The sequence below is a fragment of the Homo sapiens genome, chromosome 8 (assembly GCF_000001405.40).
Source record: "Homo sapiens chromosome 8, GRCh38.p14 Primary Assembly".
Taxonomy (NCBI): domain Eukaryota; kingdom Metazoa; phylum Chordata; class Mammalia; order Primates; family Hominidae; genus Homo; species Homo sapiens.
In genome coordinates, this window is record NC_000008.11 from 58,604,074 (window position 1) to 58,620,786 (window position 16,713).

The window sequence follows — 16,713 nt, forward strand, 5'->3', positions numbered from 1 at the left end:
TTGTTCAGAAAATTCTGCTTTCAACCTTTCCTGATGCATTAAGCATCTTAACTCTTAATATTTATTCTCATCTACTTTTACCAAGTTTCTTCTTTAATCAGCTACTAGGAAAGGGCTTCAAAAATCAAAACACACTTCCCCCTCGTTTTCTACTTTTGAAACCCCTCAGAAAAAGTATGAACAATCTTAGGAATAAACTCAGTGAGAACTGACAGTTTCTTAGAAAATGGATATTTTAGATCATGGCAAAGTTTTTGGCTTGAGATTTTAGGACTCACCATGAAAGTTGATCTTTTTATTGTAATCTTGTTATAGTTAAAAAAAATAAAATTTAAAAACCTAGATCATGAGACAGGAAATTAAAGTAAACTTGTAACAAAGCTATACTTATACATAAAGTTACCTTCAATAGCTTAATGTATGAATAAAATACTAGCTATATATAACTATATATAAACTATATATAACTACATAGATATATATAATATATATATATAAACCTACTTTAAAATAAAATATGTTCCCTACTGAAAGCCAAGTATTCCTCCTTGAAGTAAAATTTCATTTCTAAGGGAAGATGTACTTTACTACAAATTTCACAAATAGTTTTGTGGTACACTAAAATAACAAACACATTAAGATGATATTAATAAAATCCCAATATCCTTTTTTGTTTGTTTGTTTTTTTGAGACAGGGTCTCACTCTGTCACCCAGGCTGAATTGCAGTGGTGTGATCACTGCCCACTGCAGCCTTGACCTCCCAGGCTCAAGCGATCCTCCCACTTCAGCCTCTCGAGTAGCTGGGACTACAGGCACACGCCACCAGTCCCAGCTAATTTTTAATTGTTTTTGTAGAGATGAGGTCAAGCCATGTTGCCCAGGCTGGTCTCGAACTCCTGGGCTCAAGAGATTCTCCCTCCTCGGCCTCCGAAAGTGCTGGGATTACAGTCATGAGCCACCATGCCTAGCCCCAAAATCCATTTTTAAAGATAATTCCTTTCCAGTTATCTAGCAACTTTGTAAACTAGAATAATTTAATTTAGCCTTGCAATGTAATAAAAAAACTTTGGGCTTGAACATCATAATATAAGTATTTTCTCTGGCAAAGGTGGGAAAATTCACATTTTCCATGGAAAACTGAGGAAATATCATTAATTAAAAGCAAATTCCACTCCAAAGTCAGTATATTGAGCATAGAAGGTTCACATGTTCCTTTTGCAGTCTTTCAGCTTTGTGGTTCTGACCACAATCAATGATCACAAACATATGAATAACTCACTGCCTCGCAGTACAAAACTGAGTCTTGGTTCTCATAAACTAATATAAGACCTGACTGAACATAAAAATATTTGAGTGGATTCTTCAAAATCCATTCAATTTGGAGGACGTTAAAATATAAGAGCATTTAAATATATTTATCTAGAGTTTTTAAAACATACATTCAGAATGAACTATTATCAAAGTGAATTTATATTTCCCAGAATTTTAAAAATATTATTTTGGCAATTATAGTTACTGATGAGAAGAAATTAGACCCACAAAGAGGCGATTCTACAAATAGCATTTTTCTTCTCTTATTTCCTATCCCAGATCCTTAGGAGTTGAACTACCTTCATATGAAAAGAAACCCTGTCTCTACTAAAAATACAAAAAAAATTAGCCTGGCGTGGTAGCGGGCACCTGTAGTCCCAGCTACTCGGGAGGCTGAGGCACAAGAATCACTTGAACCCAGGAGGCGGAGGTTGCAGTGAGCCGAGATCACGCCACTGCACTCCAGCCTGGGTGACAGAGCGAGACTCAGCCTCCAAAAAAAAAAAAAAAAGAAAGAAACAATGAAGGGTGAGCGCCAAACCTAGGTATGTGGCAATGTAAAAATAGAGATCATCTCTATCTTGAGGTTCATAGAACTTTAGGTAGATGTCGGAACACAGATCATCTTCTGTGCAAAATACTTCCAAGCCCTATAAATTCAAAAAGAAAATAATAAAATAAATAGCATTGTATTCATCTTGCAATCCCAATATAAGTATATAATTACAAAAACATTCAGTTAAACATTTGTGTTTATTTTTATAACTTATATTCCTATTTTCAATCTATAAATTTAACTCAGTGATATATATACACATATACGTTTGCGTATATATATATATGTTGTATTTATAAATGTTTTGAGAACAAGATAGTATCTCAGCTAAACTTTGTAAATCACCTTGAGTGTTGAATATTTTCATTAATAATAGCTTTTGTGAACTTGTTATTTTGAAATTCAAAAATAGCTGATCCATGTCTTCACATCTCTTCTTCAAACATAAATGTCTAGCTTTCTTTCATAAGTTAAATAACATATATATATTTTGAGACCAGGTCCTGCTCTGTTGCCCAGGCTAGAGTGCAATGGTGTGATCACCGCTCACTGCAGCCTCAAACTCCCAGGCTCAATTGATCCTCCCACCTCAGCCTCTCGAGTAGCTAAGGCTACAGGCGCACCATGCCCAGCTAATAAATAAAAATTATGCACACCTAACAAATTGATAATTGAATAACCCATTCAATTAATACATTATTATTATCTTATAAAAACCTATGAGCTTTGTGACCATAGTGTTAGTAAGGCTGAGCTAGCAAAGGAACAGACAAAGCCAGGATGAAAGCCCAGAGCTACCCTTGGTTCAAATACAGGCTTTCACCATGTACTAGCTGGGAGCTTAGGAAGTTAACCCCCGGAGTCTCAATTTCTTCACCTGTAAAATACAATACTATCTACTTCACAAGGCTTATAATGGCGAATAAATGAAACATTATATATAAATTGCCTGTTACATAGAAAGCACTTAATCAATGTTAATTTCTTCTCTTTTTCTGACTGCAGCTCTATACCCAAAAGAGGAGATTTTTAATAGTATCTGTTTCCCTGATCTGCTATTAGTGCTGGAAATGGAGGAATGGCCTTTTAAGTAAAATAGGAAGCAAAACAGTAGAATTTCACAAATTAAAAGCACAAAAATAAGAATTAAAATTCCACAATGCTTTTGTAATGTCACCAAGTTACTGGTTAATCTTCAAAGGAGAAAAAATGAATTTCTATTGGTGTCGAATTAAAACACTTGGAATCATACCTTCTGTAGGGATTGGTTACTAAAGTAAGACATGTGTCGGAAATAGGACCTAAGTATAGAAATACACTTATTCAGGGAATGGTGGAAGGAACTGCCTATATGATTTTACATGGTTATTTTGTCATTCAGCCCAAAGGTTGAATTAATGTAAGTTAACTGTGAATATACTAGTTCCACTAAAGAAGTAATTTTGTAACATCTTCCAGATTTTGCTTTGAGACCTAGCTGCTATGAATGGTGGAGGCAAGTACAGCACAGGGTTGGTTTTACACAGATCATTCTAGCCTGAGCCCAGAAACTGAGAATGCACGAATGAGAAACTCAAGGGCACTCTAGCCCTCTTGCTCTTGGAGCCAAAAATACTTCATAATAGAACCTCTTCTCTACATGAAAGAGTTATTCCTTTATGAATTTCTACCTTCTCCAAAAGAAAGAACAGCAAAATCAGAGTCTATTTTCTTACAGGACAGTGTACTTGTACTTTCAGACATCCCATAAGTGTTTACCGTCAATAAACTGCTGGCTAAACTGAAAGTGTGACAATCATGCCCCAGCACAGCCTCCCAAGGACTCACCAGAGGCATGAGGCCGTGCCTCCTTTTGTAGATGCGGCGGACATCTTGGAGTGTTATCTGGACCACAGGTTTCTTTAAAAGTAGAAAGACAATCTCAAACATTATTGTTCTGACACAATTAGAAGTTGTTCTATAGTATCAGAAAGGGGAAAAAAAAATCACCAAATCTTGCTTTCCTAATAAACCATTGGAAAAGGAAATCTTGGAACAAGGTGATATCTGGTTTCCCATTCTGCTCTGCCATCTTTCACTAGCTTTATGACCTTGGGCAAGTCTTCCTCCCCGCCATGTGGCACCCTGCAAATGATAATGCAATCATCTATCTTTCAGGGATATTTCAGGTTAGTTTGGGGTGGGGTGATATCTTTCAGGTTAGATTGTGGGGTGATAAGAAATATAAAGAACTGGCATAAATAACCTCTCAGGAATCTTGCTATCTTTTTTTAGACAAATAGTTTGCTTAGTACTGACACACATCTTTTTTAAAGAATCCTGTCTTTTATCTCATTAAAAATTACAGTGTATTAAGGCTCACAGATTACTAAAGTATAAAGCAAGGCCTCTGAATTTTTTCTTTGTTAATGAAGAAGAAAATTGTCTTGCTTTTCTATAATTTTAAAACACTAGTAAGAGAGAAAGGAGGTTTAAAAAGGCAGAGATTGGCTAATGGCTATGCTTCCGTGGTCCTCCTCCCAAGTAGGAGGGAAGATGGGTGTGCAGAGGTCAGTCTGTCCAACAGTGGAAACTGCCCCGGAGTCCCAGAGTCAGGTCTTGGAAATGACTGGTCAAGGATCCTGGCCAGTATTGGGAAGGGGTAAAGGCCCATACCATGGATTGTGAAGCTAGGGTACACAGACATTTTTTCTCAAAATTTCTGACCCAAGCAATAGTAGCAGCCAAGCCAATTTTTTACACTCCCTGAGAATGCTGTGCTAGCAGCATGCAGTGTCTACTGGAGAACTAGGAAAGTGAGCCCCACCACCTAGTGGACACAATCACTATAGCATAATCTTTCACTCAGGAGAGTTTGAGATGTTTTAGTGCCCTGTAATGACCAGCCTGGAGAATTTCCAAGGTGGAACTTTCTCTGGCAGAATTCTTGGGCCCTGCCAAATGGCCCCACAGCACTACCAGGGTGTGTTAGGATTTCTGTTCTTTTAATGGATCATGCTAAAAAGTGGCCAGATCTAGATAAGCAACAAATCTTTACAAGTTTCAGCATGGATATCTAAGTTTATATTTATTTTCTGGCCTTGTAAGTCTGTGTCATTGTGAAAGAGAAGATTGTTTCCAACATCCTAGCAGGAGCCCATAACTGCCAGACGGCAGGATCTCCACACACACCTCTGCACTAGCTGGGAGGACCTGCTCATAGTGCTCCTTCAGGAAAAATTCAGATCTACTGAGGTTGTTCATCATTAAGAAGAAGCAAGAAATACCAACATCTGTGTATATATAAGCAAATATATTTCAAAATCTATTTCTTATTAATCATAGTATATTTCACTGGTCTCTAGGAAATGCCTCCTAGAAGAAAGGTCTAAATCTCTAGCGACCCTTTACTAAAATAGGGAGGAGCAGGGTTTCTTTTCACCACACTGAGAGCAAGTGCCCCTGACATGACTGAAAACAGATCAGAAGAACTCAAACTTCAGAGACTACACATCACGATTACACACGGTGTTTGTAAAATACACAGATGCTGCCTGTGAAGGGGGTGGGCAGGGACATGACTTGATCCTCATCAAAAAGTGAGGTCCCTGGCATTGTGAGGCCATGGTCTGGAAACAGCTTAAACATGGGCAGCTCCCCACCTGACCCTGTGGTCTACACACCGGGTAGCCGTTGAGGGGCTGAAAATACAGGTTTGTGTCCGTGATGCACACGTGTCCAGGATTAGTCACCAGAGGCGTCACCATTTCTGCTTTGCATTCCATGTGCAGCTTTTCAGAAATGTTTTGGAACCTGAAAATAGGTTTTTCAGCAAAAGTAAGAAAAATCAGAAATTGATCTACTTTCTAGGTTTATCTAAGGGAGCTACAGTGTGACTTTCTATGACATTTGTCTAAACACTACATTTAATATAAGAAAAATGGTAATATAAATTGATTGCTTAGATAAAACTGACTCTTTAGAAATGGCATGATAAAAACTCATTTTTCAAAGAAATAGGTGAGATTATCTACCACAGAAGCCATGACAGACAAGTAAATAATACCAAATAACCCTTAGCTAAACTCATTCCCCCCAAAATAAATAGGCCTTGAAACTATTCTTACATTTAAATTATTTCCTATTTTTCTGTCATTATTTTTATCATCCTATAAACCATTTTGACACAAGTGGCATTTATTTCACACTACACTTTATAAGGCTCTGACTACATAATTATAATTACTTGAATTATAATACATTTGAGTAACTGTATATTCCTTTGTATATTTTTGAGTATATCCCTCTGTGAATTTACTGCAGAAAACCTCTGAAAAATGATCTCTTCACTACTCACTCCTAAAATATTTAATCAACAAAGTCCCTTCTCATTCTGCTTTAACTGATTTAAGAAAAAATAAGGGAAAACAACCAAATCATCAACATTTTAAGGCAATTACTGAAATAACTGGGTTAAAAATAAATCTCTTTATAAGTGACAGGACAAAAAGATACAGAGGAAGATCTCCACCTCAAGTTAGGATGGGAAAGCTGTAAGAGACTGTTGAAGCTTTCACCCTAACAACCAAAATGAGCTGGATATACTGAACAATCTTCATAGCTTTTTAAAACCGACTGGAATGTTGAGCATGTAAAGCAACCTAAATGAACATGATTGCAAAAAGGAAAGAAGAGATCAACAGGTGAGTGGCAGGAGGAGGAGCAACCTATGATAGAAGTGAGTAAGGGCTGCAGAATGAAGAGAGATCTTCAGGGAAATGGAAAGCCAGAGTTGAGACTGGAGAGCAAAGAAAGCTCCCCAGAGATCCAAAAATGCTGTCGACTGAGGTGCAAAACAAGGGAAATCTCCCACAGTTCAGAAACCCGATGGCTCAGTTATAAAGCACAAAGATATCTCTAGAATCCTTCAAGTGCTGAGATCCCAAGTCCTGTGGAAGAGAAAGTCTTTATCACTCCCTCAATAGAGTTGTAGGCAGTGTTGGCTTAAATTTAACCACAGGTGCAACAAAGTCTTAATGCAGCTCAGTGACAGATTTGATTGACAGAGCCTCCCTGTACAAGTAGCCTGACAGAATAAGAGGTGGCTTGACCACTTCTGGAGGTAAATATTATTTAGTTCGGTCTCAACACTTCCTTTTTAACAAACTGCTCAATAAAAAAATTACAATACAATAAAATTATAATGCATAACAAAGAAGCAAGAAAATATGACTCATGCTCAAGAGAGAAAAGACTCTATAGAAGGTGTGTCAGACATTGGATCAATCAGAGGAAGACTTTAAGATAACTATAGTAAATATGATAAAGGATCAAGAACAGTCTAGGCATGTTGGCTCACACCTGTAATCCCAGCACTTTGAGAGGCCAAAGCAAGAGGATCACTTAAGCCCAAGAGTTTGAGACCAGCTGGGTAACATACTGAGATACCATCTCTACAAAAAATAAAAAATTAGCCAGGCATGGTGGCATGTGCCTGTGGTCCCAGCTACTCAGGACGCTGAGGATCACTTGAGCCCGGGAGGATGGGGCTTCAGTCAGCCATGATTATGCCACTGCACTCCAGCCTGGGTGCAGTGGGTCAACAAGAACAAAAGATGGACAACACATGTGAAAAGACAGAGTTTCAGCAGAGAAATAGAAACTATGAAAAAGAACCAAACGGAAATATAGGAATAAAAATGTTGATATCACAAAGAACTAACTAAACAATCTTAACAACAGACTGGATGCAGTGGAGGAAAGGTCCAGTAAGGCTGAAAACAGGTCAATAAAAAGTGTCCTAACTAAAACAAAACCAAAGGAGAAAAAAGAATGAAAAAAATATATAGGAGTGTGTATCTGAGATCTGAAGGAATATATTAAACATACTAACTTAAGTATAACTGATTATAAAAGAAAAGACAGAAAATAGGACAGAGGAAATGGAGAAGAGAATGGCTGAGAACTGATGAAAGATATCAGTTCATAGATGCATGTTATTCTGAAACTCTATGTGACATAATAAAAAAATATATCATTTGGTCTCTGCTCCCAGTTTGTGGCACAGAGCTCCTGAAACTTGTGTAATTTCCCGAGTGACAGAGGTGTTAGGTCCATCTTTTGTTCTAATATTTGGTCTTTGGTCCTGATTCCTGACATAGACCTCCTAATCTCTTGGAATTTCCTGAGTTACAGAAGCATCTTTTGCTCTAATGAGGCAACTGTGTATGGGATCCTGGATGGGTGCTGGTCACCAGAAGGACCAAGCCCTGATGAGAGGCTTAGAGCTTTTGGCCACACTCGCCCTTTTCAGCATAAGGTAGAGAGGCTGGAGACTGAGTTAATATTTGACTATGCCTATGTGACGAAACCTCCATAAATACCCCTAAACTATGAGGCTGGGAGAGCTTCTGGGTTGCTGAAGACATCTATGTGCCAGGAGGGTGATGTACCCTCACTCCACAGGGACAGAAGCTCCTGCACTCAGGACCCTTCCTTCCAGATATCACCCTATGCATCTTCTCATCTGGCTGTTCATCTGTACCCTTTATCATGTCCTTTATTATCATAATAAACTGGTAAACATAAGTAAATATTTCCAAGTTCTGTGAGCCATTCTAGTGATCAAACCTAAGGAATGTGTTGTGGGAATCTCTGATTTATAGCTAGTTGGTCAGAGCACAGGTGACAACTTGGATTTGTGATTGGCATCGGAGGTGAGGGGGGCAGCCTTGTTGGACTGAGCTCTTAACCTCTGGGGTCTGTGCTAACTCCAGGCAGACAATGAATCGAATTGTAGAATACCCAACTGGTGTCAGAGAACCCTTTGGTATAGGAAAAAGCCCCACAGCTGATCACTGAGGTGTTCTGTGTTGACAGCATAGTAGGAATTTCCCCATCATACACTCTGAAACCCTCAAGCAGGATGAGCACAAGAAAACCACATCGTATATAGGGAACAGCAATTCAAATCATGGGGCTCTTCACCGGAAACAATGGAATGACAATCTTTAAAGGGGTAAGAAACCTGTCAACCTAGAATTCTATATCCAAAAACACCCTTCGAAAATGAAGGTAAAATAAATATCTTCTTCTTAGACAAAGCTGAGAGAATTAATCTCTAATGGATCAGCTTGTAATGAATGCCACAAAAAGTGTTTTAGACTAAGGAAAAATGATACCAGATGAAATACTAGATTTGCAGAAAGGAAACAAGACTAGAAATTATAAACATCTAAATATCTAAGTATTAAAAATATTTTTTAGTATTTTTAATTTCTATGCAAACACATATATGTATCTAAATTCTTTAAAAAGCTATTGATTTTTAAAGCACAAATAAGAATACTGTATTGTGGGTTTTATGGATTATGCATAAATTAGCCACAAGATAAGATCATAACAGGCAGGAGAGGCTAAATGGAAATACATTGGAGTAAGGTTCTTGTATTGGTGTAAAGTAGCATGAAATGATATTATCTGAAGGTACACTCTGGCACGAGGTACATATTGTAATCTCTAGAATGACCACTAAAAATAACACAAAGTGCTACAGCTAAAAAGTCAATAGAGTAGATAAAATGGAGTACTGAAAAATACGAGAATTACCGAAAAGAAGGGAGAAAAGGAGGAGCAGAGGAACAAAAAAAAAATGAGACACCAAGAAATAAATACAGAAACAATGTGTGCCACATAATGATGTTTTGGTCAATGACACTGTATATAATAGTGGTCTCATAAAATTATAATACCTTATTTTTACTCTACCTTTTCTATAAGTAGATACATAAATACTATTATATTATAATTGCCTATAGCATTTAGTACAAGTTGAGTATTCCTTATTCAAAACACTTGGGAGCAAAAGTGTTTCGGATTTTGGATTTTTGAATGTTTGTATCATATCGGTGTGCCTCCCTAATCACAAAATCTGAAATCTGAACTGCTCCAATGAGCATTTCCTTTGACCATCATGTTGGCACTCAAAAATTTTTGAGTGCATTTCGGACTTTTGGAGCATTTCGGACTTAAAATGTTTGAATTAGGGACACTCAAGTGGTACAGCAAAATGCTGTGCAGGTTTGTAACCTAGGAGCAATAGGCTATACTGTATAGTCTAAGTGTGTAGTCAGCTGTACCATTCAGGTTTGTGTAAGTGCACCCTATGATGTCCTCACAATGACCATTGCCTAACAACACGTTTCTCACAACATATGAGGCGGGAAATTAAAGAAAAATAAAATTAAAAAGAAAGAGAAATAAGTTTTCCTGTATTAGGCTGACTTGTCTCAGAGGCAGCAACAAGCACAGCCCAGACCTAGGAAAAGTCTTGATAATATTATCTAATGTGCTCTGAAGACTCTCCCAGCACTCCTTTAACATAGGGAGAAGAAAAACAAATTTTCCTTTGTTTTATGGAATGAGTTTACAGATTCCTCTTCTCTGTAACTAGTGACTTCAAGTATTGTTTTATCTAAGCAGTAGAGTGACGGTCATGAGCCTCTGAGCAGGCCTGAGTTACGGCCACCTGGGTGCCATAGTGAAGGTTATAGGATAAGCCTGTGCCTAGGCAAACCTAGATAATGGACATCTGGGTTGCATAGCAATGGTTATGTGCAATCCTGAGTTATGAACCTGTTACAATTTGATTATCGGTCGTTGTCCTGCCTCTGTATCCCTGCTTTCACACCACTGTAAGCTTGCTTCAAGCTGGCCCACCCCTTTGGAGAAGTGTGTATAAAAGTCAAGTGCTGTCTTTGTTCCAGGCCCAGTCATTTGGACGCTGAGTCAGCTGGGCCTGGTGCATTCAATAAAAGATTCTCCTGTTTTAACCCAAGGTCCCTCTCTCGTCCTCCTGAATCCCACAACACATATCCCTGTCATTAAGTGATGCATGACTATCCTAAGATACTAGGCTTAAAACCAGCTAGTGTATAATTATATAATTATAAATTATCTAAACGTTCTTATTGAAAAGCAGAGATTGTCAGAATGCATAAAAAGCAAGACTCAACTATATATTTAAAGTATATATATTTTTTAAAACAGAATAAATACACAGGTTAGTAGTAAAAGGGCAAAAAAAGATGTATCATGCAATCACAACACATAAGAAAACTGATGTGGTTACTTTAAAGGAAGACAAAGCAGGCTTCAAGAAAAAGACTATCACAAATGAAGAGGGACATTTCCTAATGATGAAAGAATCAATTAATTAAGAAGACATTACGCATCTTAATGTATATGAATCTAATAACAGAGCTTCACAACACAAAATGCATAAATTGACAGAAATAAGAAAAGAAATAAATCACCACTGACAATTTTAACATCCTTCTCTCAGTGACTGATAGCACAAGTCAACAAAAAAAATTAATGAAATATATTTGATCCAAATGACCATCAACCAGTTGGACCCATACGGCACTTATGGAATACTATTTTCAACAGCTGCAGAGCTCACATTCCTTTCAATGGCATGTGAAATGTTCACCAAGATAGGCCATATGCTGGGCCATAAAACAAATCTGAACAAATATCAAAAGACTGAAATCACATAGAACATATTCTCTGATCAGATATTAAATTATAAATCAGTACCTATAAAATATCTACTAAAAATTTCCAAATATGTGGAAGTTAAACATACTTCTAAATTACCTATGGGCCAAAGGAGAAATGATGAAGAAAATTACAAAATATTTTTACATTAATGGTAACAAAAAACATATCAAAATCTGCAGAATGTTGCAAAAGCAGTGCTTAAAGAGAAAATTATAAGTTTAAGTACTTCTATTACAAAGGAAGGAATAAAACTGGTGACCTAGACTTTCTTCTTAGAAAGTTACAAGAATAAGTTTAAACCCAAAGCAAGCTGAAGGAAGGAAATCATAAAAGTAGACATCAACTATAAGTAAAGTGAAAAAGCAGAAAAATATCAACAAAGTCAAAATGTGGTCATTTGAAAGATTAATAAAATTGGTAAGCCCTGGCAATACTGATTTTTTTTAAAAAGAGAAAACACAAAGTATCAGCATAATGAATGAAAGAAGGGTAGATACTACAGATGCTGCTGGCATTAAAAGGACATTAGCAACTTCATATCAATACGTCTGACAATTTAGATGAAATGGACAATTTATTTGAAAAACACAAGTTACCAAAACAGGAACAGAAGAAACAGACAAATGCAACAGTCCTATGTCTAGTAAATAAATGGAATCCCAAAGGACACTTTAGACCTAGATGGCTTCATCAATAAATTCTATTAAAAATGTAAGGAAGAAATAACAACAATCCTACACAAACTTTTTCTGAAAACCGGAGATAAAGAAAACCTCCATACTATTATGAGGTCAGCATAACCTGTACCATACCTGACAAATACCTTACAAGAGAATTACAGAGCAATATCCCTCATCAATATAGATATAAAAATACTAGCAAAGCAAATCCAGTAATATGTAAAAAAGATAAGATATCATGTTCCCAAATTAGATTTAGCCCATGAATACAAGGTTGGTTTAACATTGAAAAAAATCAATCAATGTAATTCAAAACATTAACAGAATAAAGAAAAAAATATGATCATGTCAATGAATGCAGAAAAAATATTTGACAAAATTCTACACCCATTATTGAAAAAACTCTCAGTAAACTAGGAACAGAAAGGAATATTTTCATTCTGTTAAAGGGCAGCTATGAAAAACCTACAGCTAACATCATCTTTGAATGATGAAACCTTAAGCCCTTTTCCTGTAAGATCAAGAATGAGGCAATAATGTTCATTTCCACCACATCTATTAATAAAACTGTGCAATGAGGCAAGAAATAGAAAATAAAAGCCATACGGATTTCTGTGAAACTGTCATTATTCACAGATTAAATGATTATGTACATGAAAACTCCATGGAATCTAGCAAAAAACACTCTAAGACTAATGAGTGAATTTAGAAGAGTCATAGTATACAAGGCCAATTAAAAAAAGAACTGTATTTCTATGTACCAGTAACAAATAGTTGGAAAATAAATTTTCAATAGTATCAAACAATCAAATATCTAGGAATATGTCCAACAAAAGATGGCAGCATCTACATACTAAACAGAACAGGGATTCTGAGTGGGGCATGAAAGAGAAATCTGTACTATCTTTTGGTCTGTTCTTCTTAAATCTACAATCATTACAAAATAAAGTAATTTAAGGAAGACTTTTGGGGTAGAAAAGGGTAAATTTTTAATTCAGGATGGATTAAAGACTTAAATGTTAGACCTAAAACCATAAAAACCCTAGAAGAAAACCTAAGCAATATCATTCAGGACATAGGCATGGGCAAGGACTTCATGACTAAAACACGAAAAGCAATGGCAACAATAGCCAAAATAGACAAATGGGATCTAATTAAACTAAAGAACTTCTGCACAGCAAAAGAAACTACCATCAGAGTGAACAGGCAACCTACAGAATGGGAGAAAATTTCTGCAATCTACCCATCTGACAAAAGGCTAATATCCAGAATCTACAAAGAACTCAAACAAATTTACAAGAAAAAAACAAACAAACCCATCAAAAAGTGAGCAAAGGATATGAACAGACACTTATCAAAAGAAGACATCTATGCAGCCAACAGACACATGAAAAAATGCTCATCATCACTGGTCATCAGAGAAATGCAAATCAAAACCACAACAAGATACCATCTCATGCCAGTTAGAATGGCAATCATTAAAAAGTCAGGAAACAACAGATACTGGAGAGGATGTGGAGAAATAGGAACACTTTTACACTGTTGGTGGGAGTGTAAATTAGTTCAACCATTGTGGAAGACAGTGTGGCGATTCCTCAAGGATCTAGAACTAGAATTACCATTTCACCCAGCAATCCCATTACTGGGTATATACCCAAAGGATTATAAATCATGCTACTATAAAGACACATGCACATGTACGTTTATTGTGGCACTATTCACAATAGCAAAGACTTGGAACCAACCCAAATGTCCATCAATGATAGACTGGATTAAGAAAATCTGGCACATATACTTCATGGGATACTATGCAGCCATAAAAAGGGATGAGTTCATGTCCTTTGCAGGGACATGGACGAAGCTGGAAACCATCATTCTCAGCAAACTATCGCAAGGACAGCAAGCCAAACACCACATGTCCTCACTCATAGGTGGGAACTGAACAATGAGATCACTTGGACACAGGGCGAGGAACATCACACACTGGGGCCTGTCGTGGGGTGGGGAGCCGGGGGAGGGATAGCATTAGGAGAAATATCTAATGTAAATGATGAGTTGACGGGTGCAGCAATCCAACATGGCACATGTATACCTATGTATCAAACCTGCACTTCTGCACATGTACCCTAGAACTTAAAGTATAATTTTTTTAAAAGAAGGGGAAAATTTAATATGAAGCTATAAGATGATATTATGATTTTATATTTTTAATGATTTTATATTTTATTATGATTTTATTTTATTATATATGAGATATATTATGGAATTATTGCTAATGGAATATGATAATGGTATCAAGGAATGGAGGATATCCTTCTAACAAGTACCTGCTGAAGTACTTATGGGAGAAGTGTTATGATACCTCAGAATTTAGTTTCAGATGGTTCAGAAAAAATATATACACATATATATATAATACAAACATACACATTTATACATACAAATAACACACACACACACAGAGCAACAATGTGAGTAGGAGCAGGCATGACTTAAAGAAAATTTGGCAAAATGTTAAATTAACATCTGGTGAATCATAGGGGATCTGCCTTCATTGTATTAGCGTTTCAACTTGTGACAGTTTAAAATTTTTCAAAATAAAAAGTATTAAAAATAGTTTTCCTTATATTCCTTTAACAAAAAATTATCTCCTCAGAAATACGATGAAAGCTTATCTTAGCGGAAGTTTACCTTTTTTTCTTCTAGAGAAAGTATACAACACTGTAATATTTCATTTCATATGGCAAAAATCCCTTCCCCCAAATTCTTTAGCCTAACATTTCAGCAACTGGATACATTAAAACGTTCACAGTGAACTATTTTTTAAATGAATGTCATGCTGAAGCCCAGAATTGAAGTCTAAATTGCTACTTGGAAAAATGACACATTCTAAGTAGGTCAGAAGAAGCTAATTCTTCTTATTATTATTCCCTTTCCTTTCTAAAATGGAAACTATTCTTCCCTAAGCAATTCACTTACCTAATATATCCTGCCAGTATAAAAATGGAAATAAAATTAACGCTATATAGTGAAGCAGAGAAAGAATCAAACAAACATAAACACAAAAAACACATTACTGGCCAGATGGCCTTACTGGCAAGTTCTTTAACACATTAAAATGTAGGGTAAGGGTCAAGATGACTGATTCCCAAATCTCACAAAGGTAGCAATAAAATAGAATATTACAAACTACTCTCATTTATAAACATAAGCTTCTAGCAAAAGCGTAGCACATAATAATCCATAAATAAATGAACCTATTTAACCAATACTTTCTGCTTTGTCCTAAGGATGAATGATTACAGATGCAAAAATCAAAAATAAAAATGCTAGTGAATAGAGACTGCAAATAATTCATAGATAAGATTTTGTAAATATAAAGAATCTAAATATACAGTTAATGGAATTGGTCATAGAGTTTAATAGGGTTGCTGAAAACAAAATGAGTACACTAAAACCTATTGCATTCTATATATCAACAATAAACAGAAAATAAAATTTTAATAACATACCATTTATAATACCATCACAAATATGAAGTACTAGGAATAAATAACATAAGACAGGAAAGACCTTTATGAAGAAAATCATAAGGAATATATTAAAGGGGACCTAAATAAATAGAGAGAAGACTATAGATTCACTGCAATTACAATCAAAATCCCAGCACAATTGCTTTTATGGAAATTGACAAGCTGATTCTAAATTCAGATGGCAGTGCCTAAGACCAAGAATATTGAAGACATAAGTGAAAAAGGAAAATAAGGTCTGGGGCCCTGCACTACCAGATATCAATAGTTACCATAAAGGTATAATAATTAGCTTAGTGGTACCAGAGACAAAGATACAGACGAATCGCCTAAATCTCCTTGATATAAGGCAATAAACAAGTAAGAGAATGGGATAATACAGAAATGTCATCTTTGCACAAAATGTATACTTAAGAAAAGCCAAGAAAGTCAATGAAAAAACCATTAGAACAGGAGAAGTGTACTCTCTTGGACCCTATAGAGCACCATAGGTAGGTACTTATTGCAACTTGAAGTCTCAGGAAAGACCTTCTAGAAGAACTGAGAGCACAGCTGAAATAAGAAGAATAAGCAACAGCCAGGTGCAGAGAAGGAGGATGAGTTTTCTAAGCAGAGGGAACAAGAACAAAGGCTCAGAGGTAAGAGACAATGTGGCACAACAGAAACTGCAGGCAATGCAAATAACTAGGGCACAGAATTCAAGATGCATCATCAACGACTAGTAGTAAATAAGAGCTAGCACCTAAGAGTCTTGGGGCCATGTTAAGGTGTTTAGGCTTTATCCTGAAGGCACTGGGGATGGGGGCGTCTTGAAAATTTTTATTTTATTTATATTTTTAATGGCCTTTTATTGTATCACTTTCTCTTGGCAATATGAAATAATCCAGGGAATTTTAAGGTGTATGGCTGTAAAAGACTATTTGTGTCTTGGTATAGTAACCTTTGATATTGTCAATGAAAGACAGGCATTTAAATTAACTGTTATTGAAAACTCTTTTGCTTGTTACTGTTCTAGGAGCTGGTTGGTGGGCAATAATCATGTTTGTTTTAGGAAGATAACTTTGTGGACCATATGAAGAGGCTGGAGGAGAA

At 36.2% G+C, this 16,713-nt stretch overlaps 1 protein-coding gene across 28 annotated transcripts in view; it reads right to left on the bottom strand.

The window, feature by feature from the left end:
- The window catches only part of NSMAF (neutral sphingomyelinase activation associated factor), a 76,350-nt gene that overhangs the window by 20,570 nt on the left and 39,067 nt on the right, over positions 1-16,713 (bottom strand). For 27 of the 28 annotated variants that reach the window (NR_182088.1, NR_182085.1, NR_182087.1 and 24 more), the window contains 3 exons: positions 5,531-5,660; positions 3,696-3,767; positions 1,854-1,962 (listed from right to left, as the gene is read on the bottom strand). Coding sequence is in view for 22 of the 28 variants with exons in the window: in NM_001144772.1 (NP_001138244.1) it covers positions 1,854-1,962; positions 3,696-3,767; positions 5,531-5,660 (311 nt within the window). In the remaining 6 variants the exon portion in view is untranslated. Of the gene's footprint in view, positions 1-1,853; positions 1,963-3,695; positions 3,768-5,509; positions 5,661-16,713 lie in introns of all 28 variants that reach the window. The other variant, NM_001412994.1, reaches the window with a different exon arrangement.